We start from the raw sequence: 24,237 nt of genomic DNA on the forward strand, positions 1-24,237 counted from the left end.
TTCTGGATGGGAAGCACAGCCGGTCCACACTGGTGTCCTTCTCAGTGCCCAGCGGTGGAACTCAGGGTATGCTGAATGAATGGAGGAAGGAAGCCGTCAATCCCCTACCTCCTTTCTCTCACCGCAGTAATGAAGTATGCGCTGCACTTTCTCATTAGGAAGCATTTCTCTTTCCATCCCCACATTTGCATCTTCCAAGCATTGTGATGCTTTTCCAATCTAGAAGGAGGAAGTGGAAACCCTAGTTTCTGTGGGCTTCGTCATAGTGCCTTTTTCCTAATCCATTGGCCTCTGGTTACTCTCCTCTGAGCCACGTTCCTGACGTGCAAAAAGCTGCAGGAGCCCCAGGGCCATTCCAATGCCATTTCTTGTCCAACCCGCTCTCCAGTCCTTGCAGTGCAAGGTGGCACCTCAGGGCAAGCCTCATGGGGCCAGAGTGGGGAGGCTCCCAGCCCACTCTGCTGACCCCTTTGTCTCCACCCGGCCAGCACCTTGGCTGCTGCATGAAGGTGGTAGGAATCAGGGGGCAAATGTAGAGAAGCACAAATACCAGGCCATGGTGCTTGCTGCAACTGGAGGTAAAACAACGTGAGTCATTTAAACTGCAGGCTCCAGGCTGGAAGGAAGTCTCCAGCAGTGAAAAGAGAAAGGAAGGGAAGGGGAGGGAAGAGGAGACAGGTGGCTGGGCAAAGGAGACGAGGGGAGGAGAATTCCGGGCATAGGAAACAGGATGTACAAAGGCTCCAAAGGCAAGGAGAGCTCAGGGAAATGCAGGCCAGCCAGAGCAAGGAGGGGGCAGGCCCAGGTGAAGGTGTGGGGTGGGCACAGGCAGCCTACAGGTGCCGAGGCCACAGTGTGCTGAAGCCAGCTCCCACCTGCCCAAGAGATCTCATTACTCAATTTCCGGAAATGTGATGAACTGGCTATTAAACTGGGCCATTTAAAACATTAATTTATATCAACTTACGATCAAATAAATTTTACTTGAAACAATGGTAATAAAAACCCCAAAGTCCTTTCCTCCTAATGATTTTGCTCTATTTGGTTATTAGCTGTATTCTGGAGGCGAGTGACATTTCTTGTATTCGCATGGTGGAACTATTATGAAATGAGGGCTACATCTCTTTCCCACCATGGGTTCAGAGATGTCATGTCGTTGGTTTGAAATTGGCTGCAATATGGCTGGGCACAGTGGCTCACGCCTGTTATCCCAGCACTTTGGGAGGCTGAGGCGAGCAGATCACGAGGTCAGGAGATTGAGACCATCCGGGCAAACACGGCGAAACCCCGTCTCTACTAAAAATACAAAAAATTAGCCGGGCATGGTGGTGGGCACCTGTAATCCCAGCTATTCGGGAGGCTGAGGGAGGAGAATCGCTTGAACCCGGGAGGCAGAGGTTGCAGTGAGCCGAGATCATGCCACTACACTCCAGCCTGGGCAACACAGCCAGACTCTGTCTCAAAAAAAAAAAAAAAAAAAAAGAGCGAAAGAAAAAAAGAAATTGGCTGCAATAGGAATAGCTACAACACAGACATTGGTAAACTATACAAATCAGTGCTTGATTTGTATAGTTTTGTTGATTGTCTAGACTTATGAATGTGATGGAGAAAATGTTAATAACACAGATTCAACTAAAACAGGTTCACTGCCCTTACATGGTGAATATCACAAAAAAGATAGTCAAATTACACTTGAATTGCAGCCATAGGCTGGCTACAGTCACAAGAGTTCAGCAAAAACCTGTGAAAGCATTCTGTGTAACTGGCTGTATGGAATTTACATTAAGGAATATTATATATCTTATTATTATTTGTAAATTGGGGCCACTCGTCCTGCGTATCAGTAAAACGCATACTCAACGTCTACACGTTTGTTTTTCAGGAAGCTGGCTGTCCAACACTCACCAGCACGCCGTGGCCTGAAAGCTGCATTCAGTGTGTGGACTTCATCCTGGGTGAAGGGGATATGGCTTTCGCTAGGATTGAAAGCACAGGCTGGGTGCAGTGGCTCACGCCTGTAATCCTAGCACTTTGGGAGGCCAAGGCGGGCTGATCACCTGAGGCCAGGAGTTTGAGACCAGTCTGGCCAAGATGGTGAAACCCCGTCTCTACTAAAAATACAAAAAATTGCAGCCATAAAAAATGATGAGTTCATGTCCTTTGTAGGGACATGGATGAAATTGGAAATCATCATTCTCAGTAAACTATTGCAAGGCCAAAAAAACCAAATACCGCATGTTCTCACTCATAGATAGGAATTGAACAATGAGAACACATGGACACAGGAAGGGGAACATCACACTCTGGGGACTGTTGTGGGGTGGGGGGAGGGGGTAGGGATAGCATTAGGAGATATACCTAATGCTAAATGACGAGTTAATGGGTGCAGCACACCAGCATGGCACACGTATACATATGTAACTAACCGGCACATTGTGCACATGTACCCTAAAACTTAAAGTATAATAATAAAAAAAAAAGAAAAAAATACAAAAAATTAGCTGGGCGTGGTGGTGTGCACCTGTAATCCCAGCTACTCGGGAGGCTGAGACAGGAGAATTGCTTGAACCCGGGAGGCAGAGGTTGCAGTGGGCCGAGATCACGCCACTGCACTCCAGCCTGGGTGACAGAGTGAGACTCTGTCTGAAAAAAAAGAAAAGAAAAGAAAGCACAAAGGGATCTGTCATTGGATTTGGGTTTTGGACACTGGTGATAAGGTGGGGAAGAGACAGGAGGCCACAAGCTAGGAGGCAGGGGACCCGTGAGGAGGCTGTCCTGACACCATGCACTGACAGCCGCGATGTGGGGGGGATAAGTGGCCCTGGGGTGGGGAGTGGGGAGGATGCCACCGAGAAGTCATGAACAAAGCCCCCCACCCACTCTCACGGCCTGCCAGGTAGAAGCCTGGAGCTCCTTACCCAGGTCTCAGTGAGTGTGAGGTCATTCTCCCGGGTCCGTGGCTGCTCACTCGTGCTGTGAGTTGCCAAGACCCGGGGTGATCTTATTTTGGAGACATTTGCCCCAGCCTCCAAAGCAAGGCATTCCAAAGTACAGGCTTCCACGCTGGACAGGTAGACCAGCTGCAGTCATCTGCCCTTGGTTATCCTCACATCCACGGTTTTCATTTGAACTGTCTTTATCAGGCACACAGAAGCCGCTTCTGAATTCCCTCGCAGCCTCCGTGTATCAGAGACCCAGTGCCAGCCTGGGCCGCCGGGGCTTGAGATGAGCGCTCTTCCTCCCTCCCGACCCCAGCCTGATGCCCCAAAGCCCTCCAGAGGAAATCAAAGCTGGCGAGAGCCACGCGGATGTTCAGAAGAAGTCTCTTATCCCGGCAGCCTTTCACAGGCTGTGGGGCCTCGTGCCCTCTGCCCCCCGACGCCGTGAGAGGCCGGCAGCCAATTCGCGGCATTGTCTGAAACCCCTGCGTGGTGCCATTGCCGCCGTCTTTCATCCCTTTTGGCAAAGAACCCGCGCCATCGGGTCCTCTGAAGTGCGGGAGACGGATCGCTGATCTGCCGGGGAATGTGCTCTACAAGGTTAAGCATGTTTGCCCAAGAAATACGGATAATGCTCTTAGCACGTATGACCTTTACGATATGTGGAACACTGTCCGTGACAAAAATGCCATTTTTTAAATGGTTTTCACGCCGGGGTATCCAGCCATTAATCATGCTGCATATGAGTGACTGTAGGGGCTGCCTAGAAAATCCTAGAGCCCCACGTTAGATTCCTGGCGGGCCAAGGGCTGTGTGTGAACCTTGACTTCATTAGGATCTGCACCGCCGATGGCTTCCTGGGCTGGGTGGCCCCCGGGGGCTCCTGCAAAAGAGCCTGGCTTCTCAGCACCTTCACAGGAGTGGCCACGGGCTCCTTATTTTAAGGTGTCTTTGTGTCCTTGGAGCTGATAAATAACTCATTTTGGATGCCTCTGCTGAGCCTGCATATTTAGTGCCCACGAACTGCATCTCAGATGCTGGAGGCTATGCCGCCCCTCTCCCTCCCTCTCCCGGCTGCAGAGCTGGGCATTGCTCAGTAGGGGAATGGCTGATGCTGGGCGCCGGCCTGATTGGAGGGAAGTGATAGAATTCAGGATTTTTACTTCCAAAAAGGCATTTTCCAGGGTCAGCCAGTTAATACCTGCACAGCCCCAGTCAGAGAGCCCCCAGACGCCTGTGGGTCCCAAGCACGAGAAAATGAGTCTGGTCTGTGTCGAGAGGCACTGGGTGTGCAGAACACACACAGGATTTCAAAAGCTTGATATAAAAAGCACAAACTACCTCATTCATAATTTTCACACTGATTAGATGTTGAAATGATAATGTTTTGGAGATACTGGGTTAGATCATATGTATTATTAAACTTAACTTTACCTTTTCTTTTTGACTTATTTCTTGTGGCCACTAGAAAGTTTAAAATTGCCGACGTGGCTTGCATCTTACCTCTGTCAGAAGCTCAGGCCACACACCCATGCAGAGACCCACCCTGGGAGTGGAGAAGTGGATGGAAGGACAGAAGAGAAGGCCCTTCCATGCCCTGGGGGCAGGGTGCTCCCAATCCCATTGCGGGGAAGGAGTGCTCACACAAGCACCTGTGCAACTGGCACCTTTTGGGGTCTGTTTGTGTTTTCCAGGCCTGACACTGGGGCAAGGAAAAGCCAAGACACATCGCACTTTATTAATCAACATTTAGTGATGCTTTTGGAGACAGGCAGAGGGAGCAAGGGGTGTCCTGAGTCCCCCTTTGGAAGGGAATGGGGATAGGGAGCAGGCAGCGGGCAGTGGGCACAGACAACCAGCAGTGCCCACCCAGATGATGCACTAATCTTCCCTCCCCCACCTCCCCTCCCCCGCAGTTTGATGCTTGGCTCTGTCCTGGTGGACTTCTTAAACCTGCACCAAGCGGCTGCTACTGCTGACCCCAGGGATGTCCTGACACTTTCTGGGTGGCCTCCAAGCCACATGCAAATATAACCCAATTTCCACCACTGTCTGAGGAAGGATGTGGGAAGTGCTGGTCCCCCCTGCAGCCCTCACCAATCTCCCCAGTGACCACACGGGAGCATCTCTCCATCACAGCCACTCTGGACCCATTGCAGACACAGGAAGAGTAACAGCATCCCAGCCTGGCGGCGTCAGACGGTTTGGCAGAGTCCCTGTGCACCAGATCCAGTGTTAGGTGCTGAGGATTCACAGCAAACGCATAACCCCTGGACCAGCATGTGAAGTGATCATCCCAAACCCATCATGAGAGACCAAAGGGGGTCTTGGGATTCCTAAGGGCATTTAGCCCAACCTAAGGATTTGAAAATGTACCTGCCGGACATGGAGAAACTGGCACCTTGGGTGTTTTAAAGGACAAATTGTAGGTACACAGGAAAAGAGAAGTGGGAGGGGCATAGAGGCAGGATATTGTAGAAGTAAGTGCTGATGAATGTGGGAGGGTCAACTGTGGGCAGTCTGTAGTGCAGGTGACGGTGGACTATACAGGCTAAGGCAGGGAGCGGCAGGAGACAAGGCCGGGAGAGTCACTGGGGTCTGGGGAAGGTCAGAAGGAGCCTTGAATGGCATACTCAGGATTCGATCTCCCTCCAATAGGCAAAGGGTGCCACCAAAGGGCTCTGAGCTGGGTGAGCGGCTTTGATTTAGAGTTTCCAGAAATGGCTCCGGCATCAGGGCATGAAGGAGGATTAACACCAAAGGCACAAAGTTTGGGACCTGAACTAGGACATTGGTATTAGGAAGAGAAAAGAGACAAATATCTAAGAAATATTTAAAAGATGTAACTGGCCAGACCAGGCATCAGAGTCAACATGGTGGGCAAGGAAGAGCTGCCATTGTGTGTCTCCCGGATATGGGCTCTGATCTCCAGGTCAGAGAAAACTGCAGGCTGGCCTCAGTAGATCCCAGAGGCAGAAGCGACATCCACCAAGCCTGCCTCACTGGGCTGGAGCAGCCTGGCATCTGTGCACCAGCCTCCTGCTGACCTCTCACCGGCTGTCAGGACAGCCCAGGGCAGAGAGGTGACATCCAGGCTACCCGAGGCAGCAGGTCAAACCCAGCTAAGTAACTAAATAAAGATATGATTGTAATGATGATTAAATATGAAGCACCTCATTAATTTCATGTGAGAGGTGGGGAAAACACAAGATAGCCCTTCCTCGAAACTCATTGTTTGCCTGGCCCTGAGACATCCCCACGCGATGTCTTGTTGGGTCTAATTTAAGTATGTACATTTAATGGTTCAGTAAGTAAAATTGCCTTTATTGTTTGGAATGGTTTTTGCAATAATTTATGGGCTTGGCTGGTTCATTTGACGGGTCCCTATGATGGAGTACGTGTCGGCCCTGAAGCGGGTATTTATATAAAGCACTCAGGGAGAATTCAGCCCTGCGGCCCTGAACATCATATTCCCAGGCAGCAAGGGAGACTGGTGGAGGCCACCCTGACCCGGGAGAGGCAGCTGCATACACCCAGGACCGCTGCAGCTTTGGGCACCCTGGAGGGTTGAGGGGCAGGAGCCCAGTGAGCCTAAACCCTTTATTCTTTGGTTCTGAAGTGCCCTGGCAGTGCAACTTGGCACACAGAAACTGGAAAGAATGAGAAGCACTCGGAATGGGCAAAAACCTAGATGTTTTCCCACCCACTTGCCCTGGCCGCCAAGGCCTGAGTCATCCATCACCCACTTTCTGACCCAGCCTGCATCTTGGTCCTCCTCCTTGGATTCTGGGAGGAGAGGGGAGGTTTCCATTGCTAGCCCCAACCCTGGCAAACACTCCACACCCATGCCTGCTGGGGGCAGCTGGGGACAGCTGGGAATGGGGAAACTCATCCACAGAGAATAAAGGGCCAGCAAGTGATGAGTGGACATGACCAGCAAATGGGCCAGGCCCAGGAATGGATCCTGACCCAGTCTGAGGAGGGGCCAGGGCCGGGGCAGGGGCCAGCTGGAGGACCAGAGGGAGGGTCCAGATGGGACCCAGGGTGTCCATCTCACTGGGGACGAGGCAAACGCAGCTACCATGAGAAGATGGAGGTCTGGGAGGCAGGGCCCCGAGGCTCTTCCACACATGATGGATTTACTAGGTGGGGGGATAGAGTAGGTTGTAGCAGAAATTTGATCCTCTTTCATTTTGCCCTGGGGTAACTGGTGAACAGTCTTGAGCTCCTGCCAGCTGGAGCCAAAGAGGGGGAGCTCAGGGACGGCAGGTCGTTTTATGCCGTTGATCAATTCCTTGACCCTGCCCCTCCATTCTTTTTCCATCTCCTCCCCCTGTACTTTTGAGCCCTCCTCACTCTTGAAAAAAAAAAAAAGCCAGTACTGGAAATTAAAATTGGGTAGACAGAGAACCATTTACCGCTTTGATTACCTAACTTCTTTCTTGAGCCGATGGTAAACTAGCCCAAGTTTAAAATATCCCACCTTTGGGCCTGGAGCTGTGGCTCCCACCTTGGGAGGCCAAGGCAGGCAGATCATTTGAGATCAGGAGTTTGAGACCAGGCTAACCAACGTGGTGAAACCCCATCTCTACTAAAAATACAAAAATTAGCCGGGTGTGGTGACCCATTCCTGTAATCCCAGCTACTCAGGAGGCTAAGGCAGGAGAATCACTTGAGCCCGGGAGGTGGAGGTTGCAGTGAGCCGAGATCACGCCACAGCACTCCAGCCCAGGTGACAGAGTGAGACTCCATCTCAAAAAAAAAAATCAAATAAAAAAATAAAACATCCCACCTTTAAAGGGCACAGACATTTTTAATCTGGTCTCAATGATGCTGCTACTGGCACACAGCAAATGGGTGGTGCCTCCAGAGGGAAGGACGGCAAGTGTGGTCCGGGAGCTGATAAGATGCCTCCCTCCCTGCACTCAGCTCCGGCCAGCAGCCTCCTTATTCTGGGAGGGGGCTTCTGTGGACTCCACTGAGCCCCCCACACTCTGTCCATGTTCAGGTTCACCGACAGCATCAGGTTCCATTCCTCCCTCTGCCTCCCCTTCCTCCCCTCATGATTGACCCTGTGGTGAGAGAGGGTGGTGACTCAAGATGCACAACACCTCTCGATTTTCCACTGAGCATGCACTGTGTGGACTATCTAAAGTCAATGTGTGCTTCCAGACCAGCATAATCGCACCCACGGCCCTCCCTACCCCGCATAAAACAGGGGTACTCCAGGGGGAAGCTGCTTATCTGCGATTTGGCCTTGGAAAAGTGCATTTCAGAGAGGAAAGCAAACCACTGTCCAAGCTGCGTCCCATGCTCAACAGATAAACGCCCCAGGCTTCTATCTGATGCTGAGCTGTGGATAGAGGAAGGAAACTGTCCTAAAATGAAGCGGTCTCTGTCTTTGCTTCTAGCTCACTTCTCCTTGTGGGGAGATGGGCCCCTCAAAACAGACTGATAACCACCAATTTTGCCACAATCCACTCTAACAGAGACAAGGACCTTGGCTATCCATCAAGGGCTCACTCACTTCCTGGCCATGGAGTCCATTTGGGTGGATTTTCTCATCTGTGCAGCCCACAGCTGGGCTCCCCAGAAGGCAGACTTTGAGACGAGGAGTTGACTGCAAGTCATTGAATTGGGAGAGGAATCCAGGAGTGGGGACAGGAGATGAGGACAGGAAGGCAACCAATAAAAATGCCTTATTCATACAATTATCACCATGATCGCCAGGCGCTCCATCCCGCTTGGGAGCTCCGGCAGACAGCACAAGCTACGGTGGTGCACCAATGGCCTGCGCACACCTGGCTGAGGGTTGCTCCCAGGTACTCACTCATCAGTACTGTCTCCTGCACCTCCACCTGGTGGGATCCTGCTTCACGGACTGAGTCCCAGGTGTTCTAAATAACAGAGGTGAAGATCAATGGGACATGAGGCATTGGGGTGGGGGTACTAGCAGGGTCTGCTACACCATTTCATAGAGAGGAGAGGAAAGGTCAGCTGCGATTTGGCCAAGGCCATGCAGCTCTTCATGGCCAACAGGAGACTCCAACTCCAAGGCCCAAACCCTCATGACTCTGTCAAAAGGCCTCCAGCCTGGCAACTCTCCCAGTTGAGCCATTGTCAATGGGTTCCCCACAGGACCCGGGGTCCCAGGTTAGAGGGATTAGCAACACTCCTGCTGTGAACACATCCCCCTCCATCACCTGACCCCGTGGAGAGCCACACAGGGGAAGGCTCCAACCAGTGCCTCAGGCAAAATCGAGGAGGTGGCCGGAGGCTGACGTTGAAAACCCTGTGGTCTCCCAGCAAAGATCCGAAGAGTTGACTGAGCGAAGATCTGGCAAGTGCTGGTGACGGGAGAGGTTGGATTCTTCACACGCTGCCGGTAGGAATGGAAAGTCGTGTAGCCAACCAAATTGTAAAATGGAAAATCATTTGGTTGTTCCCCAATAAGTTAAACATAGACTTGCCGTAAGATCCAGCAATTTCACTCCTAGAAATATACCCCGCAAAGGCCGGGCGCGGTGGCTCATGCCTGTAATCCCAGCACTGTGGGAGGCCAAGGCGGGTGGATCACGAGGTCAGGAGTTCAAGACCAGCCTGGGCAAGATGGTGAAACCCCATCTCTACTAAAAATACAAAAATTAGCCAGGTGCGGTGGCAGGTGCCTGTAATCCCAGCTACTTGGGAGGCTGAGGCAGGAGAATTGCTTGAACCTGGGGGACGGAGGTTGCAGTGAGCCAAGATCAAGCACTGCACTCCAGCCTGGGGACAGAGTGAGGCTCTGTGTCAAAAATAAATAAAATAAAATAACAAACAAACAAGAAATATACCCCCCCAGAATGAAGACAGGGGTTCAAACAAAAACTTGTCCACAGATGTGTGTAGCAGCACCAAACAACCCAAATGTCCATCAACTGATGGACGGACAAACAAAATGTGGTGTAGTCATAATACGAGCAAACGCAATTTCAGCCATAAAAAGTCATAAAGCAGCCCAGCACAGCGGCAACTCCTGTAATCCCAGCACTTTGGGAGGCCAAGGCGGGCGGATCACTTGAGGTCAGGAGTTCCAGACCAGCCTGGCCAACATGGTGAAACCCCGTCTCTGTTAAAACTACGAAAGTTAGCTGGGCATGGTGGCACGTGCCTGTAATCCAAGCTACTCTGGAGGTTTAGACTTCAGCCTGAGCGACACAGTGAGACTCCATCTCAAAAAAACCAAAAAGGAATGAAATACTGATACATGCTATAACATGGGTAAATTCTGAAGACACCATGCTCAGTGAAAGAAGCCAGACACAAAAGGCCTCCTACTGCCGATTCCATTCATATGAAACGTCCAGAATAGGCAAATCCACAGACAGAAAGCAGATTGGTGGTTGCCTAGGGCTGCGGAGGTGGGGCGGGGCGGGGGGTGGGGGGTGGTGGGAAAAAGAAATGAGGTGTAATTGCTTAATGGGCACAAGTTTCCTTTTGGGGTGATGAAAATGTTTTGGAATTAGGAATGGCAGTTGCCCAGCACTGTGAATGTACTAATTGCTACTGAAGTATCACTTTCAAACGGTTAAAATGATACATTTTAGGTAATGCATATTTTGTCATAAAAAAAATAGCCACCCATCCTCTACCCCAGGAGAAGGGAGGAGCGGTATTGAGATTATAAACATTTACTGCAAATAATTCAAAAGGGGCAGTTAAGAAACATGTGAGCAATCGGGACTCTTTTTCATGTCCCACATAGAGCCTGGGGAAAATCTGAACCAATAACAATAAAATAATAAGGCCTAACAGCTGTGGGAATACGATTGTCTCTTGGGCTCACATGTGGATAATCGAGAGTTAACTCTTAATAAAATAATAAAACGCAGGAGCAGTGGGAATAAAGATTACCTCCTTAGCCAACTGCCAGAGACCATATTCAGAAAATAATGACTCCCTTTCTACTCCCCTCATTTTATGGTATGAGATGTAATTGTAGCCGGGCTGTTCGCAAACTTCCAGGGGAAGGTAATTGTCAATCAAAATGAAAAATGTCATAATTTAAGCGTGTCCCAGCCTGACAAGAAGGTCCATATGGTCTTTCAGTGAGGCGCGTGGAGCGGTGATTTATGACTGTCACCAGCCCAGCGCTGTCTCCGAGACATTCAAGGACCGCGTGGGCTGGACACTCACCTTCGGTGGCAGGGCCACCGAGTCACACTCCACTCTCAGCTGCAGAGAGTTCCTGACCAGATGACGCCAACAACTGTAAGGTCCTTGGTGAGTCCCCACGGCGCAGGAAGAAAGATGATATAAAGAGATGATTGCCACCCAGAAAACACTGGGAGGAGAGAAAATGACAGAGAAAGAGGACCTGGCCTTAAAATGGGGGGTGAGGGAGGGGTTCTGCCCCACAGTTGCCCACAGCTTTAACCTTTATAGCAAAAACCATAAATTCTGGATGTCGCGGGGGGGTCAGTCGTATCTGGTTGGTTGTTGCATTGCTGTGTTTTTTTTGTCTTACGTTTGGAGGTTTTGTTTGTTTCCTTTCTAAGGATGCTTAAGTGGGAATGGGTATTAAGGTGGCCATATATTGTTGAGGTTGCCCTGGAAACCAGAAGATAAGAGATGCCCTCAAACCTGTACCCAGCCAGGGCCTGAGGAACCTCTACACTCCTTTTGCCAGAAGGAAATGTCATTTCAGGGACCCTCCCCCCACCCCCAGCCCCACCCACATAAACTAAGGCAGCTTTATGGGCTAGACCCTGCCCCTCGACACACACCATTCCCTAACCAGGAAACTGGAGGGTACATTTTCAGACACCCTAAAGCCAATAATTAGACCAGTCTGGGGTTAGAAAAATCCCTGAAGCAGAACAAACTCAACTGTCTGGGCATGTCTGGTGTTCAGCAGAAGGTGCCCTGCCATGTGTCCCTCAAGGAAACCCAGCACCGCATTTGGTGACCATCCTTTACCTCCTTTGCCTCCTTCTCAAATCCCATGTTCAGGGGCTTAAACTCCCACCTTTGAGGATGAACAGAACCCAGATCTTGTTCTGGCTCCTCCTGCTCTGAAGCTTGCCGTATGCAAGCCGGTGTGCACACACGCACGCATGCACACACATGCACGCACACGTACACACACGTGCACATGCATGCACACACACATATGTGCGCGCAAATACGTGTGCGCATGCACATAAATATACACACACTCGCATGCACACACGTGCGCATACACACGCACACAACGGTGCTGTTGTTTTTTTATTTGAAGTAAACACCATCTGTCACCCTAAACGCACAGCAGGGGCTCAGCTGACTGTGGACAGCAGCCTGTCTTCCCTTCACTCTCTCAGGTCCACTGGGCCAGGGGGGCGGGAGTTTCTCCCAAAAATCAGGAGATTAGGGAAGCTCCTGGAATGTCTGAGGACAACAGCAGGAGATTGCAGAGAGCATGTGTCTAATGCTGCGTGCACACACACACACACACACACTCTCACACACACTCTCTCACACGCCCTCCTTACTCTCAGGAGCACCCACCCCACACCCCACACCTCATTGCATCCAGTGCCATTAACTGATCGCTTCTCCCGCCGTAATATTCGAGGCTGTTCGGCAAACCTCCTTCTTTTGTTTCCTCTTCCCCGTGCTGCTCTGCCGTCCTTCTGAGGGGCCTGCTTTGATTAATATCAACCCTCCCTCCCAATCTCTTTCCCAACCATTTTAAAGGGCAATTCCTCTTTTCGGCAGGGGCATTGATCAATCGATACCAAGCAGGGGTCGGGATCGATACGGTTCCGGGGTCTTTGGATACTGGGGTTTGATATCTTTTTCTTCCCCGACCCTCCCCCTTCTGCTACCTAGACCCAGAGCTTTAAGTTCGACTGGAGGGGCTTCTAGAACGCACTGCTGGGGGCCTCAAGAAGCCCAATGACCTTTAAAACAATGTGATAATCAGCTGGGCGGGACGGCTGCCAAAGACCATCCTGCTAATCCTAGGTGGCAGTCCCCTCCCCTCCCCCATCTCTGAAGCTGCCTGCTCTGGTAGCAGCCCCTCTCGTTCAAGAAGCCAGCCTCCCTGATCCCCTGGCTCGCTGGGAGGAGGGCACCAGCCCAGGTGGGCAGGAGGGTGAGCCCTTGCCGGCCCTCCCACTTCCTCCCTCGCTCCATCCCACCACTTCTTTCCTGCGCTCCCAGATCTGCTGTAACTGACATTTTCCATCTGACAGGTTCTGTTTTCCCTGCCTCTGGTTGCCAGGGAAACAAGCGAAGAGGACCGCAGCCAGAGAGCTGTTAGCTGCCTTTTTAAGGCGCCCTGGACATAAACAGCACTTTCCATAATGGAAGCTGGGCACGGAGGCTTAAAAAAACCAAAACAATACAGAAGAGGAGGCTAAAGTGGGAAACAGTCGGGGTGGGGTCCCCACCAGGTTAATGGGAGAGTAAAAGAAGAAATAAAAATCCTAGAAAAATCTCACACTCTTGGACAAAACCAGCCCCCTTCCTGAAAGGTCTGATTCTCTCCTTGATGTGCAAAAAAGGAGAAACTGGACCTCCAGACCCCTACCTCCTAACGTCTTCTATGAAGCCAAAATCTCTGCAGCCAAGCCTCAGCCCAGCTACAGGGAACCTGGGCTCTATTGAGGTGCAGGGGAGCTATTCGGATTGAATCACCCTCCAGGCTAAAAGACGCTCTAATGGAAGTGATGGGGTCCGTCTCCAATTTGGAGACCGCGCAGGCCTATCCTTCAGAAAAGGTTAGAGGGTTTTTGTTTTTTGTTTTAATCTTGAGGGACGCTTGCTCCCCAGGCAGCTAGGAGGCCAGATGCTGGAGTTTGAGAGAAAATGGCTGAACTGTAAGGCAGGCGAGAAGGGAGGGGAGGGTGTCCTCTTCTTCTTTCAGAAAACTTACTAGGGTTGGGTAGACAGAGATAGCTGTCACTCATCCCTGGGTCTTCTCAAAGCTGCCCTTGCTGTGCATGCGTGTGTGTACGTGTGTGTGCATGCGTGTGTGCGTACATGTCTGTGTGCATGTGTATGTACATGTGTGTGCATGTGTGTGCGTGTGTGTGCGCATGCATGTCTGTGCACGTGCGTGTGTGTGCGTGTGTGAGTGTGTGTGTGCACAAGTGCCTAAACACATGGGCATACTTGGGTGGGCCTTAGTGAGCCCAGTGGGAAGCAGGCAATGTTTACTGGGGAGCCACCACAAGCAACACCCTGTTTCTTTTCCACTCCTCTTTCCTCCACCTTTACTTCCGCCCCAAGCAACTGAGTAATGGCTTGCTCTTCTCCACGACCACCTCCACCAGACTCTGCCCATCTCACCCCAAAAAACTCAGCCCAACACCCCACACTCCTGATCCTGTAGACCTCAATCTTCAAGGCAGGCGACACATCACCAGGAATCACCGGTCACTATTTATACTGCGTTTTTCGCCATGTGTTTGCACAGCGTTAGACCTTCTTTCATATGCCATTTGAATGATGTAAAATGCCCTGCCTTGGCCCTGAGTTTCAGGCCTGCACTTTTATCTTCCTTTGTGCCTTTCAACCTGGACGTCCCAGTGAGCCCATCAAACTCAATCAATTCAGAACAGAACTCATTGCCTTCTCCCCAAATTGGCTCCTTCACCCAGAGTTCCTGAGTCAAAGCTGCAGTGCAGTCCATCCCCCACTCCTCTGCCACCGCCACCCACACACACACACCGGGTCTGTCTATACGTCGTCGAACTTCAGATCCTACTTCTTGAGTATTTCCACTCTTTCCATCTGCTCCCATCTTGAGCAGCCCAGGCTCCCACAGTTTTCCCTGAGCTGTTGCAATTGCCTCCTGATCTGCCACCACCCCCCAACCACCCCTCCATGCCTTCTCCTCCCCTAAGCTGCTGCCAGCAGTCATCTTTCCTTACAGGGACCTGCCCTGCTGCGGAGCCCGCAGTGATTCTGCTTAAGAGCAGATGCAAAACCCTGAGCCTGGCACCCAATGCCCTTCGCCACCTGACCTTGACTGAGCTTCCCAGCTCCTTCCCTCTACGCCCGGCCCTCTGACCAGGCCTGCCACGCAGAGACTGGAAGCCCTTTCACACCTCCGTGTCCTCAACCTGGAAGTTTCTGCCTTATCCCTGCTCAGCCCAGCAAATGCTGACCCACGTCCCAGTCGAAGCCTCACCTGGCTGAACTGGGGTCCCCTCCATTCAACACTCACCTCTTCTGTGGAGCACCACGCCTTCGGTTTGGTTACAGGCTTGTTGCCCCACAGGTCTGAGCACTCTTCGGGGGTTGACACCTTGCCCTGCACCCCCAGCACGAGGTGCAGTGCATTGCATGTCACAGGTACTCATAAATGTTCTCTTTTTGTCTTCGCCGTGGGCCCCGGAAGGGGGAAAGACAGATCTCCTGTAGTAAAAAGGAGGACATGACTGTCGTCATCCTGAACGCTTGTCCACATGCATGACGACATCCCTGCATGAAGGAGCAAAGCCGCTGGCTGAGAGGAAGGACCGATTTTAAATGTATTCATTTCATAATCTTTACAGTGATATATTAGAAACATTCTAAAGGATTAAAATGGGGCCGGGCACGGTGCCTCACGCCTGTAATCCCAGCTACTCAGGAGGCTGAGACGGGACAATCGCTTGAACCCAGGAGGCTGAGCTTGCAGTGAGCTGAGATCGGGCCACTGTACTCCTGGGCAACAGAGCAAGACTCTGCCTCAAAAAAAAAAAAAAAAAAAAATGCAGAGAGACGGTCAGGCTCCAAATTGGAGGAAATGAACTGGGACTGTTTGGGAGGTGCCACAGAGGACGTGGCAAGGGGTCAGGACAGTGCAGCCTGGATTATGGCACAGAGGGGATGCCAGATGGGGGAGGGGACGCCAGATGGGGGAGGGGATGTCAGATGAGGGGTAGCTGCCGTACTGGCCAGGGGAGGCCAGTGGCTCACACCCTGAACATGCGTGGGGAAGAAAAGAGAATGACCCCAAGGAGGTGATACTCGAGAACACCTAATTTCACATCAGAAGAGACTGAAACAGGCAGCAAAGAGACCATGAGAGCCAGGTGTGGCAGCTCACACCTGTAATCGTAGCACTTTGGGAGGCTGAGGCGGGTGGATCACTTGAGGTCAGGAGTTTGAGACCAGCCTGGCCAACATGGCAAATCCCCATCTCTACTAAAAATGCAAAAATCAGCTGGGCGTGGTGGCAGGTGCCTGTAATCCCAGCTACTCGGGAGGCTGAGGCCCGAAAATCACTTGAACCCAGGAGGTGAAGGTTGCAGTGAGTCAATATTGCATCACTACACTCTACCCTAGTGAGACTCCTTCTCAAAAAAAAAAAAAAAAAAAAAAAGACAGAGACCATGAGAATATGTGTGTGATACAGCTGAGAACACGAAGAGCAGAGGCTGAGATGGACAGTCAGGCAGAGGGGCTCACGGGTGATCTATTTTTTCAAACATATATTTACAGTTGACTCTTGAATAACATGGGTTTGAACCCCATGGGTTCACTTATTCACAGATTTTTCTTCTGCCTCTGCCACCCCTGAGACAGCAAGACCAGCCTCCCCCCAACACACACACCTTCCTCTTCTTCCCCAGCCTACTCAAAGTGAAGACCTTTAGGATGATCCAATTCTGCTTAATGATTAGTAAATACGTTTCCTGTTTCTTACAATTTTCTTTTCTTTGCTTTTTTGAGACGGAGTCTCACTCCATCACCCAGGCTGGAGTGAATTGACACGATCTTGGCTCACTGCAACCTCCACCTCCCAGGTTCAAGCAATTCTCGTGCCTCGGCCTCCCAAGTAGCTGGGACTACAGGCACCGACCACCACACCTAGCTGATTTTAGTATTTTTAGTAGAGACGGGGTTTCACCACTTTGACCAGATTGGTCTCAAACTCCTGACCTCAAGTGATCCACCCACCTCGGCCTCCCAAACTGCTGGGATTACAGGCATGAACCAGCACTCCCAGCCTGCTATTTACAATTTTCTTAATACCGTTTTCTTTTCTGTAGCTTACTTTATTGTAAGAATAGAGCATATAACACATAAAGACATACAAAGTAGGTGTTCGTTGACTGCTTGTGATATTGGTAAGGCTTCTGATCAAGTAATTAAGTGTTGAGAAATTGAAATTTATACTCAAATTCTCCACTGCATCGGGGTCTCTAAGGGCCAGCGCCCCTCACCCCCACATTATTCAAGGGTCACCCGCAAGGCCGTTATGCTATTTTCACACTTACAAAAAAAAAAAAAGAAAACCCAGGGCAATTCCAATGAACCGTTTTGAGATGCTGTGGGGCCTGAGAGGTTGGGGTACTCAGGGGTGCCGACGTGGGTGTGCAGGCTGGACAGAGGCAAGGGGCTTTGCAAAGGACAGTCCACCAAGATGATGAAACTGGGAGGATGCCAGGGCAGGTGGAGCTGGAACAGCCCAGGTCGCCATGCCTCCCATCCTGTCTCCCCAGTTCCCTCCCCATCTTTCCACTTGGCTGTGATATGCACTGGGCTGGATATGGGCTTCAGTGACCAGCCATCAGCTCCTGCCTCACCTCCTCTAGGGATTCAGGTCACGTGTGACCAAGTGATGGAGACTGGCAACGGCTCCTGCAATGCCCAATACTGTTAATAACAGTAGGAATAAATTTTGCATTGCTGGTTTGGGGGTGACCGGGAGGGTCTCTAGGGCCACAGCCATCTTCTCCAGGTAGGCTGGAGCAAAGGCTTGGCTCTGAGGGTCTGGCTTGGATCTCCAGTGCCACCCTAGTACAGACACCACTGATGTCTGTGAGGGGGCCCTCAACACAACGATGCCAAGCGGCCAGAGACAGTGAAACAGCCCTGAGCTCACAGAAGCAGACAATTTAGGAGCTACCTCTCTGCATTATTCCAACCCTCAGAAACCTCGTGCTTTTCTTCCCAGAAGCAAAGGGTGCTGACTTGTTATAAATGCCAAGGTTGCCTCAGGAAGCTCAGGATCATTCCAGCATCCAGGTGGCCAAATCCCAGGAGACGAGAATGATCGTGCATGCACCTCATTTGCGTCACACTTTAATTCACAGAGTGCTTTCCATCTTTCATGTATTTTGTCCTCTCCATTACCCTGTCAGATAAGCAGGGAAGACATACGTTTACCTTTCCTGTATGTGCGTCACACTTGGACAGCTCACTAAATGGGTTGTCAAGTGATTGCAGAGGGAAACTGAGGCCCTAATACCTTAGGTCAACTGTCCAAGAGGCCAGAGTCAGAGCAGGCTCAAAAGGAGTTAGAAGACTAACTTCTAAGTCAGGACTCTACTTGGATACTATTACCTTCTAGAAGACATCCCTAATGATGATGATGATGATGATGATGATGATGATGATGGGGGCTTGTATAAGCTTCATGTTTTGCAGGTTCGTAATAGATAATAAAGTTGGAGAGGGGATGAAGAACCAGGCTAAAGAGGATCTTGGGTGTCAAGGTCAGAAGTTTCCACTTTTCTCAGGAGCAGTGGGACCCCACATGTCTTCAGCAGGAAGTATGTAGTGGATTGAATAATGGTCCCCAAAAAGGTGTGTTCATGTCCTAATCCCCAGAACCTGTGACTGAGCTCTTATTTGGAAAAAGGGTCTTTGCAGATGTAATTAAGTGGAAGGTCTTGAGATGAGGAGACCACCCTTCTGAGTCTGCTCAAACTCTGGCCCCTTAGACAGTTGGTATAAGGTTTCTGGGCCTCAGTATCCCTCTATAGTCATTTGACAACCCACTAGTGAATTGTCCAAGCGTGATGCACATACAAGAAGGGTAAACATATGTCTTCCCTGCTTATCTGACGGGCTTGTGGAGGGGACAAAATAAATGAAAGATGGGAAAGTGCTCTGTGAATTAAAGTGTGATGCAAATGAGATAATTATCCTGGAATTTGTGGGTGGGCCCTACGTCCAATCATAGGTATCCTTATAAAAGACAGGCAGAGGGAGATTATGCAGACAGCAGAGGTGGAGGTCATGTGACCACGGAGGCAGAGATTGGAGTGATATGGCCACAAACCAAGGAACACAGCAGCCGGCAAAAACTGGAAGAAGCAAGGAAGGGTTCTCCCCTAGAGCCTCCAAGAGGGAGCATGGCCCTACCGGATTTCAGACTTGAGGCCTCCAGAGTTGTGAGAGAATAAACTTCCATTGTTTGAAGCCACCAAGCCTGCACTAATTTGTTACGGCGGCCACAGGACACTCATACAGGGTGAAATGTGCAATGCTGGGGGTATGGGCTTGGTTTCATTTGCTGCTCCCTCCACACTCAGGGCAGGCCCTGCTCACCTCTTTGGACTGATAGAGAGCCAGCCTCTGGGCCTGACCCAAGGTCACAAGGTGGGTGAGTGCCAAGGTGGGACCAGGGCTTGAGTGTCCTCACCGCATCCCAGGTTCTCCCTCGCCAAACTCCAGAAGGCCAGGTGGGCCGCAGCCACTAAGAACTTTGTCCCTTCACACCCTACTCTGTTTATTTGCTACCTAGACCCTGCTCAGGATCTACAGATATTTCCATATGATTTTCACCAATGTAGTAAAGATTCAAAAGAAAAAATAGGGGGGTGGTTGGGAGGCAGGCCCCAAGTTCTAGGAATATTCATTCCCCTTTTCTCTGCCCATGCTATTGTGGTCATGCATAACTCAGTATAACTCTGAGGAGGCCATGATTGAGACTAGGGCATCCAGAGAGCCCTTGGTAATTCCTCCCATTCTCGGGATTATCCATCTTTGAGGTCAGACCCAAATCTCTCTGGTCCTCAGTTTTTGCCTCTGCAAAATGGGATCATTTTCATGTACTCCCCACAGCTGTTATGAAGGATAAATTCAATCAGATAATGTGTGCAACATGTTCAGGAAGATGGACATGTCAAACTCTCCATGGATGATAGTGATGATGATGATGATGATGGTAAAGATGATGGTGATGGTGGTGATGATGGTAATGGTGATGATGGTAGTGGTGATGGTGATGGTAGTTAGTGATGATGGTGATGGTGATGATAGTGATGATGATGGTGACGGTGGTAATAATGGTGATGGTGACAGTGGTGATGAAGGTGATGGTGATGGTGATAGTGGTGATGATGGTGATGGCGATGGTGATGGTGATAGTGGTGATGGTGATGATGGTGATGATGGTGATGATGGTGGTGATGGTAATGGTGATGATAATGGTGGTGATGGTGATGGAGGTGATGCTGGTGATGGTGATGGTAGTGGTGGTGATGGTGATAGTGGTGATGATGGTGATGGTGATGATGATGGTGATGGTGATGATGATGGTGATAGTGATGGTGGTGGTGATCATGGTGATGGTGATGGTGATGGTGGTGATGATGGTGATGGTGGCGATGATGGTGGTGGTAACGGGGTGATGGTGAAGATAACAAGTGATTGAAATGGGCAAGACTCCCAGGAGGCTGTGGGGCTCATTTAGGGGCCTAGGGAGTCCACAGGAAGAAATCCACATTCTCTAGCCTTTCTAAGTGAAGCAAACTTGCTGTGATCACACTAGAACAGCACATACAATGCCCAGGTCTCCAGGACCATGCCAGCTGCCCACCCGGAAAAGCTATTTTCCTTTGCTACCCATAGAAAACCTTTGGGTGCCTCCACTCCTGGGGCACCGGCAACCCCACCGTCAGCCCTTCATTTCTCTTGCCTTTCCTGGATCAAGGAGCACTGCCAGGCTGCCTCTATCCCTGAGAGTTAGATCCAAATAACTGCCTTTGTTATGTTAATTTTGCAAGTGTCTCCACTCCCCCCCCCCAATTATTTGTCATGCAGCAATTCCTATGTGTTGCTAAAAATACAAACACATGACTCACACAGCTTCTGGCATGGGTAAAGGAAAGAGAACATGCATGGCCTTTCTGCTCTTCGGAGCCCAGCCAGGACACCAATCCAGGCTGAGGGGCTGAGAATAAGCTTGTCTCCAGTTGCAGAAGGACAGAAAACAAAAGGCCCAGATGAGACAGAAGGCTCCAGGCTGGTCAGCTGCATCTCTGGGGCATGACACCACAGTTATGAAATCCTTTGCATCACTTGCTCTGCTATTTGGGGCATTACCTTGTGAAAGGTTCAGATCTCAGTTCTTGTTTAGGGTCTTCTGTATTCCACACCCACATGCTCATACCAGCCTCCATGTGCCCAGATGTGCCTGCTACTCTTGGGCCCTCCACAACCTTGCACCAGCAAGGGGCGGGATAAATCTTCAGGGCACCACCCTCATTCAGAAAAGGAAGACGGCTCCATTCTCACCCCTTCCCTGTGATTTCCCCCAGCAGTCCACGTGTCCCTACCCTGGGGATGCTTGTGCAGGTTGGACTTCATTTGCTTCAAGGACAGACCCTGGGGCCAAGAAGCAGCATCTCATGCCAGTGAAGAGATCAAACTCTAGAACTGGCAAATCCGGCTCAGGCAACCTCTGCTTTTTTATCATCCAAATGGGAGCATTAACAGACACCCTTTGAGGGTGATGTGAGGATTAAGGAAGAGACAACCTGCAAAACCATCAGCCCAATGCCTGACCCAGGGAAAGGTTCAATCAGTGTCATCACTGAGGAGCACATATTGTTTTTATTATCATATTCGTGTTCCCAAATCCAGAGGTCGTCTGGCTAGGCAGAGCCATACTTTGCTCTCCCAAATTCGGGGCTCACTTCACCCCATGCTCACCTTACATTGGGGCCTTCTGCCCCTGCTTCCTGGGCACTTCAGCCTCTGAGTCAAGAGGGTGGTTGGCTGAAAAGCAAACACTGTAAGTCCCTGCCCCTGAGACGCAGCAGCTGAAGAAAGCAAGCTTTCAAGAGCATTTGCTTGGCAGCCAAAGCCCTCTGATGAATCAGGGACCTTTTCTGATGACTTACTTTATTCTAGGTGACCTGCTGGGCCATATCCCACTTCCCTCCAGGGTGCTGAGCCGGCAGGAACGAGCATGCGGAGGAGGCAAAAGGGGATGGAGATGGATTTGTGCTTAGAAATAAGATGTGGAGGAGTCCGCCTCAGGTCCCCAGGAGAATCTGTATTGCCTTGGCTGGAGCTGAGGGACTGGACATCCGGTCCCATGCACGAAGACCATCTGCCAGGGCCACCACCTCCTTCCTCCTGAGATGTCCTCCTCCCCAAATGCTCAGCCTCCCTGCAAATCATTCTACTTCTCTGTGGTCAGTGTACAGAGAGGGATTTGGAAATGGGTTGGGGCTGGGGTAGAGCCACATAGAATACAGTGAGAATGATGCCCCAGGGCACTGTGGGGTCTCTGGGGTGCTTTTCATCCATTCGGCAAAATACGTCAAGCAACTACTGTCTAAGGTGTGGCATTCAGTGTCACAGTGAATAAGGAAAGGTTGTCCTGGGGGTCAGGAAGGGAAATGAGACCACACACAAGCAATCCCATCTCTAACCTGAGCACTGGCAGAAAGTAGCAGGGACTTCCTTCTAGGAAGGAAGTCACCATGTCCCAAGAAAGCTCAGCGGCCAAGCTTGCTGGGCCCTCTGTGGGAAGATGGCAAAAGCAGAAATTGACCTCGTCATCAATGAGTATGGCCCAGGGAGACAGATGGCAAGCTGAGCTCCTCACCTGGCTGATGTCTATTTCACTGAAGTCTGAGCTAGTCCAGCCGTTGGAGTCTGTGTGTCACTAGCATATTTGTAGGTCATAGAGTACTTGTTGGCTGATCAGGGCCCAGAGAGCAGCCACTGGGGTATCAGCCAGAACGTGGAGGTTGGGTTCAGGGCCAACACCAATGGGGTTGGGCTCTAGGGTGGGAGGTGCCTATGGACTGTACCCTGGAGAACCCAAAGACCATAGCCACCTTCCAGGCCTTCTTTACCCCAAAGGCCTGTGATTTCCAAAGCTAGGTCATAAGCACATTGCAGCCTTCACTTGCTCTCTCTTGCATCCCTTCCTCTAGGGAAAGAGCCGCCATATTGTGACGATACTCAAGAGCCCCATGGAAAATTCCACATGAAGAGGAACTGAGGCCTCCAGCCAACAGCCAGCAACTACTTGCTCACCACATGAATGAGCCATCTTGGAAGCAGACTCTCCCACCCCAGTTAAGCCTTCAAATGACTCTAGCCCTGCCAACATCTTGACAAAAGGCTCAGGAGAGATGCCAACCTAGAACCACCCAGCTAAGCTGCTCCTGAATTTCCTGAATCACAGAAACTATGGGCAATAACAAATAGTTATTATTATTTGAATCCCTTAAGTTTTGAGGAAATTTGTGATGCAGCCATAGATAATGAATAAAAGGAGTTTCCGTTCAGGTAGACATTCCTTGAGCTTTGATCTTTACTTGACCCTAGGAAGCAGGTGTTTCACCGAGCCTCCCACCTTATAGTCCTTTTCCCTGTACCTGCCTTGTCTTTTCCATCTAGTTCTTCTTGTCTATGCCACTTTACTTGTGATTTTCTCTATTTGGGGCCATCTAGGGATGTTTTTTAGAGCAAGATGGTCATGTTTAATTTTTTAAGCCAAAAACAGCTGTAATCGCCTTTTAATTATACATACAGGATAGAGACTGTGATATGGTTAGGCTGTGTCCCCACCCAAATCCCATCTTGAATTGTAATAATCCCCATGTGTCAAGGCAGGGCCAGGAGAAGATAATTGAATCATGGGGGCAGTTTCCCCCATACTGTTCTCGTGATAGTGAATGCATCTCACGAGTTCTGAGTATTTTATAAAGGGTAGTTCCCCTGCACATGCTCTCTTGCCTGCCGCCAAGTAAGATGTGACTTTGCTCCACATTCGCCTTCTGCCATGATTGTGAGGCCTCCCCAACCATATGAAACTGTGAGTCAATTAAATCTCTTCCCTTTATAAATTAGTCTTGGGTATGTCTTTATTATCAGTGTGAGAACAGACTAATAATACAGGCTGGAAGGGGCAAGGACAGAGAAAAGCTCATAATTAAACCTCTGAGTCAGAGAGGGGTACATCCTGGCAGAAAGCCAATTCCTAAACTGACCACTCCTTGTCTAACTTGGGCGTTAAGTAGGACTTTTTGTTATTAAGATGGTGAACTTTTAGAATGTTATTTTTATCATTTGCCTGCCAAAATAGATTCTATCTTCTTGCCCCTTTGGGATACATCGTTGGAATAATGGCCTCCAATTAATTCATGCCTGCCTGTACCCGTGCCCTGAGTAGCCCCCTCCTTGACTGATTCTGGGCTTGGCCATGTGTTTGACTTTGGCCAATGAAAGAATGGCAAGTGTGGCACCATCAGAGGCTTCGAAAGTGCTTGTGTACTAGGAGCCCTGAAACTACCTTGAGAAGAAG

The 24,237-nt window shown here is 50.4% G+C and overlaps 1 long non-coding RNA gene across 4 annotated transcripts in view, besides 8 other annotated features; it reads right to left on the reverse strand.

Moving 5' to 3' along the window:
* Positions 471 to 1,281: an enhancer, noted in NCBI's record as "H3K27ac-H3K4me1 hESC enhancer chr17:75786503-75787313 (GRCh37/hg19 assembly coordinates)". NCBI's record gives its function as "activates a minimal SCP1, AML or CMV promoter by ChIP-STARR-seq in primed H9 embryonic stem cells {active_cell/tissue: H9 hESC(primed)}" and the evidence as "EXISTENCE:reporter gene assay evidence [ECO:0000049][PMID:30033119]".
* Positions 6,929 to 7,428: an enhancer, noted in NCBI's record as "H3K4me1 hESC enhancer chr17:75792961-75793460 (GRCh37/hg19 assembly coordinates)". NCBI's record gives its function as "activates a minimal SCP1, AML or CMV promoter by ChIP-STARR-seq in naive H9 embryonic stem cells {active_cell/tissue: H9 hESC(naive)}" and the evidence as "EXISTENCE:reporter gene assay evidence [ECO:0000049][PMID:30033119]".
* The window catches only part of LOC105371908 (uncharacterized), a 42,983-nt gene continuing 26,451 nt past the window's right edge, over positions 7,706 to 24,237 (reverse strand). Inside the window, exons 1-5 of one of the 4 annotated variants that reach the window (XR_934999.2) lie at positions 12,482 to 13,150; positions 11,115 to 11,197; positions 9,143 to 9,318; positions 8,467 to 8,836; positions 7,706 to 8,292 (exon numbers count right to left, since the gene is read on the reverse strand). This is a non-coding gene — a long non-coding RNA (uncharacterized LOC105371908). Of the gene's footprint in view, positions 8,837 to 9,142; positions 9,319 to 11,114; positions 11,198 to 12,481; positions 13,151 to 15,135; positions 15,327 to 24,237 lie in introns of those variants that run through there. The other 3 variants (XR_934998.2, XR_935001.2, XR_935000.2) reach the window with 3 other exon arrangements.
* Positions 8,706 to 9,206: an enhancer, noted in NCBI's record as "H3K4me1 hESC enhancer chr17:75794738-75795238 (GRCh37/hg19 assembly coordinates)". NCBI's record gives its function as "activates a minimal SCP1, AML or CMV promoter by ChIP-STARR-seq in primed H9 embryonic stem cells {active_cell/tissue: H9 hESC(primed)}" and the evidence as "EXISTENCE:reporter gene assay evidence [ECO:0000049][PMID:30033119]".
* Positions 9,207 to 9,707: an enhancer, noted in NCBI's record as "H3K4me1 hESC enhancer chr17:75795239-75795739 (GRCh37/hg19 assembly coordinates)". NCBI's record gives its function as "activates a minimal SCP1, AML or CMV promoter by ChIP-STARR-seq in primed H9 embryonic stem cells {active_cell/tissue: H9 hESC(primed)}" and the evidence as "EXISTENCE:reporter gene assay evidence [ECO:0000049][PMID:30033119]".
* Positions 11,625 to 12,578: an enhancer, noted in NCBI's record as "H3K4me1 hESC enhancer chr17:75797657-75798610 (GRCh37/hg19 assembly coordinates)". NCBI's record gives its function as "activates a minimal SCP1, AML or CMV promoter by ChIP-STARR-seq in primed H9 embryonic stem cells {active_cell/tissue: H9 hESC(primed)}" and the evidence as "EXISTENCE:reporter gene assay evidence [ECO:0000049][PMID:30033119]".
* Positions 13,531 to 14,484: an enhancer, noted in NCBI's record as "H3K4me1 hESC enhancer chr17:75799563-75800516 (GRCh37/hg19 assembly coordinates)". NCBI's record gives its function as "activates a minimal SCP1, AML or CMV promoter by ChIP-STARR-seq in naive H9 embryonic stem cells {active_cell/tissue: H9 hESC(naive)}" and the evidence as "EXISTENCE:reporter gene assay evidence [ECO:0000049][PMID:30033119]".
* Positions 18,738 to 19,238: an enhancer, noted in NCBI's record as "H3K4me1 hESC enhancer chr17:75804770-75805270 (GRCh37/hg19 assembly coordinates)". NCBI's record gives its function as "activates a minimal SCP1, AML or CMV promoter by ChIP-STARR-seq in primed H9 embryonic stem cells {active_cell/tissue: H9 hESC(primed)}" and the evidence as "EXISTENCE:reporter gene assay evidence [ECO:0000049][PMID:30033119]".
* Positions 20,476 to 21,164: an enhancer, noted in NCBI's record as "OCT4-H3K27ac-H3K4me1 hESC enhancer chr17:75806508-75807196 (GRCh37/hg19 assembly coordinates)". NCBI's record gives its function as "activates a minimal SCP1, AML or CMV promoter by ChIP-STARR-seq in naive H9 embryonic stem cells {active_cell/tissue: H9 hESC(naive)}" and the evidence as "EXISTENCE:reporter gene assay evidence [ECO:0000049][PMID:30033119]".

This window comes from Homo sapiens, chromosome 17, assembly GCF_000001405.40.
Source record: "Homo sapiens chromosome 17, GRCh38.p14 Primary Assembly".
Taxonomy (NCBI): Eukaryota; Metazoa; Chordata; class Mammalia; order Primates; family Hominidae; genus Homo; species Homo sapiens.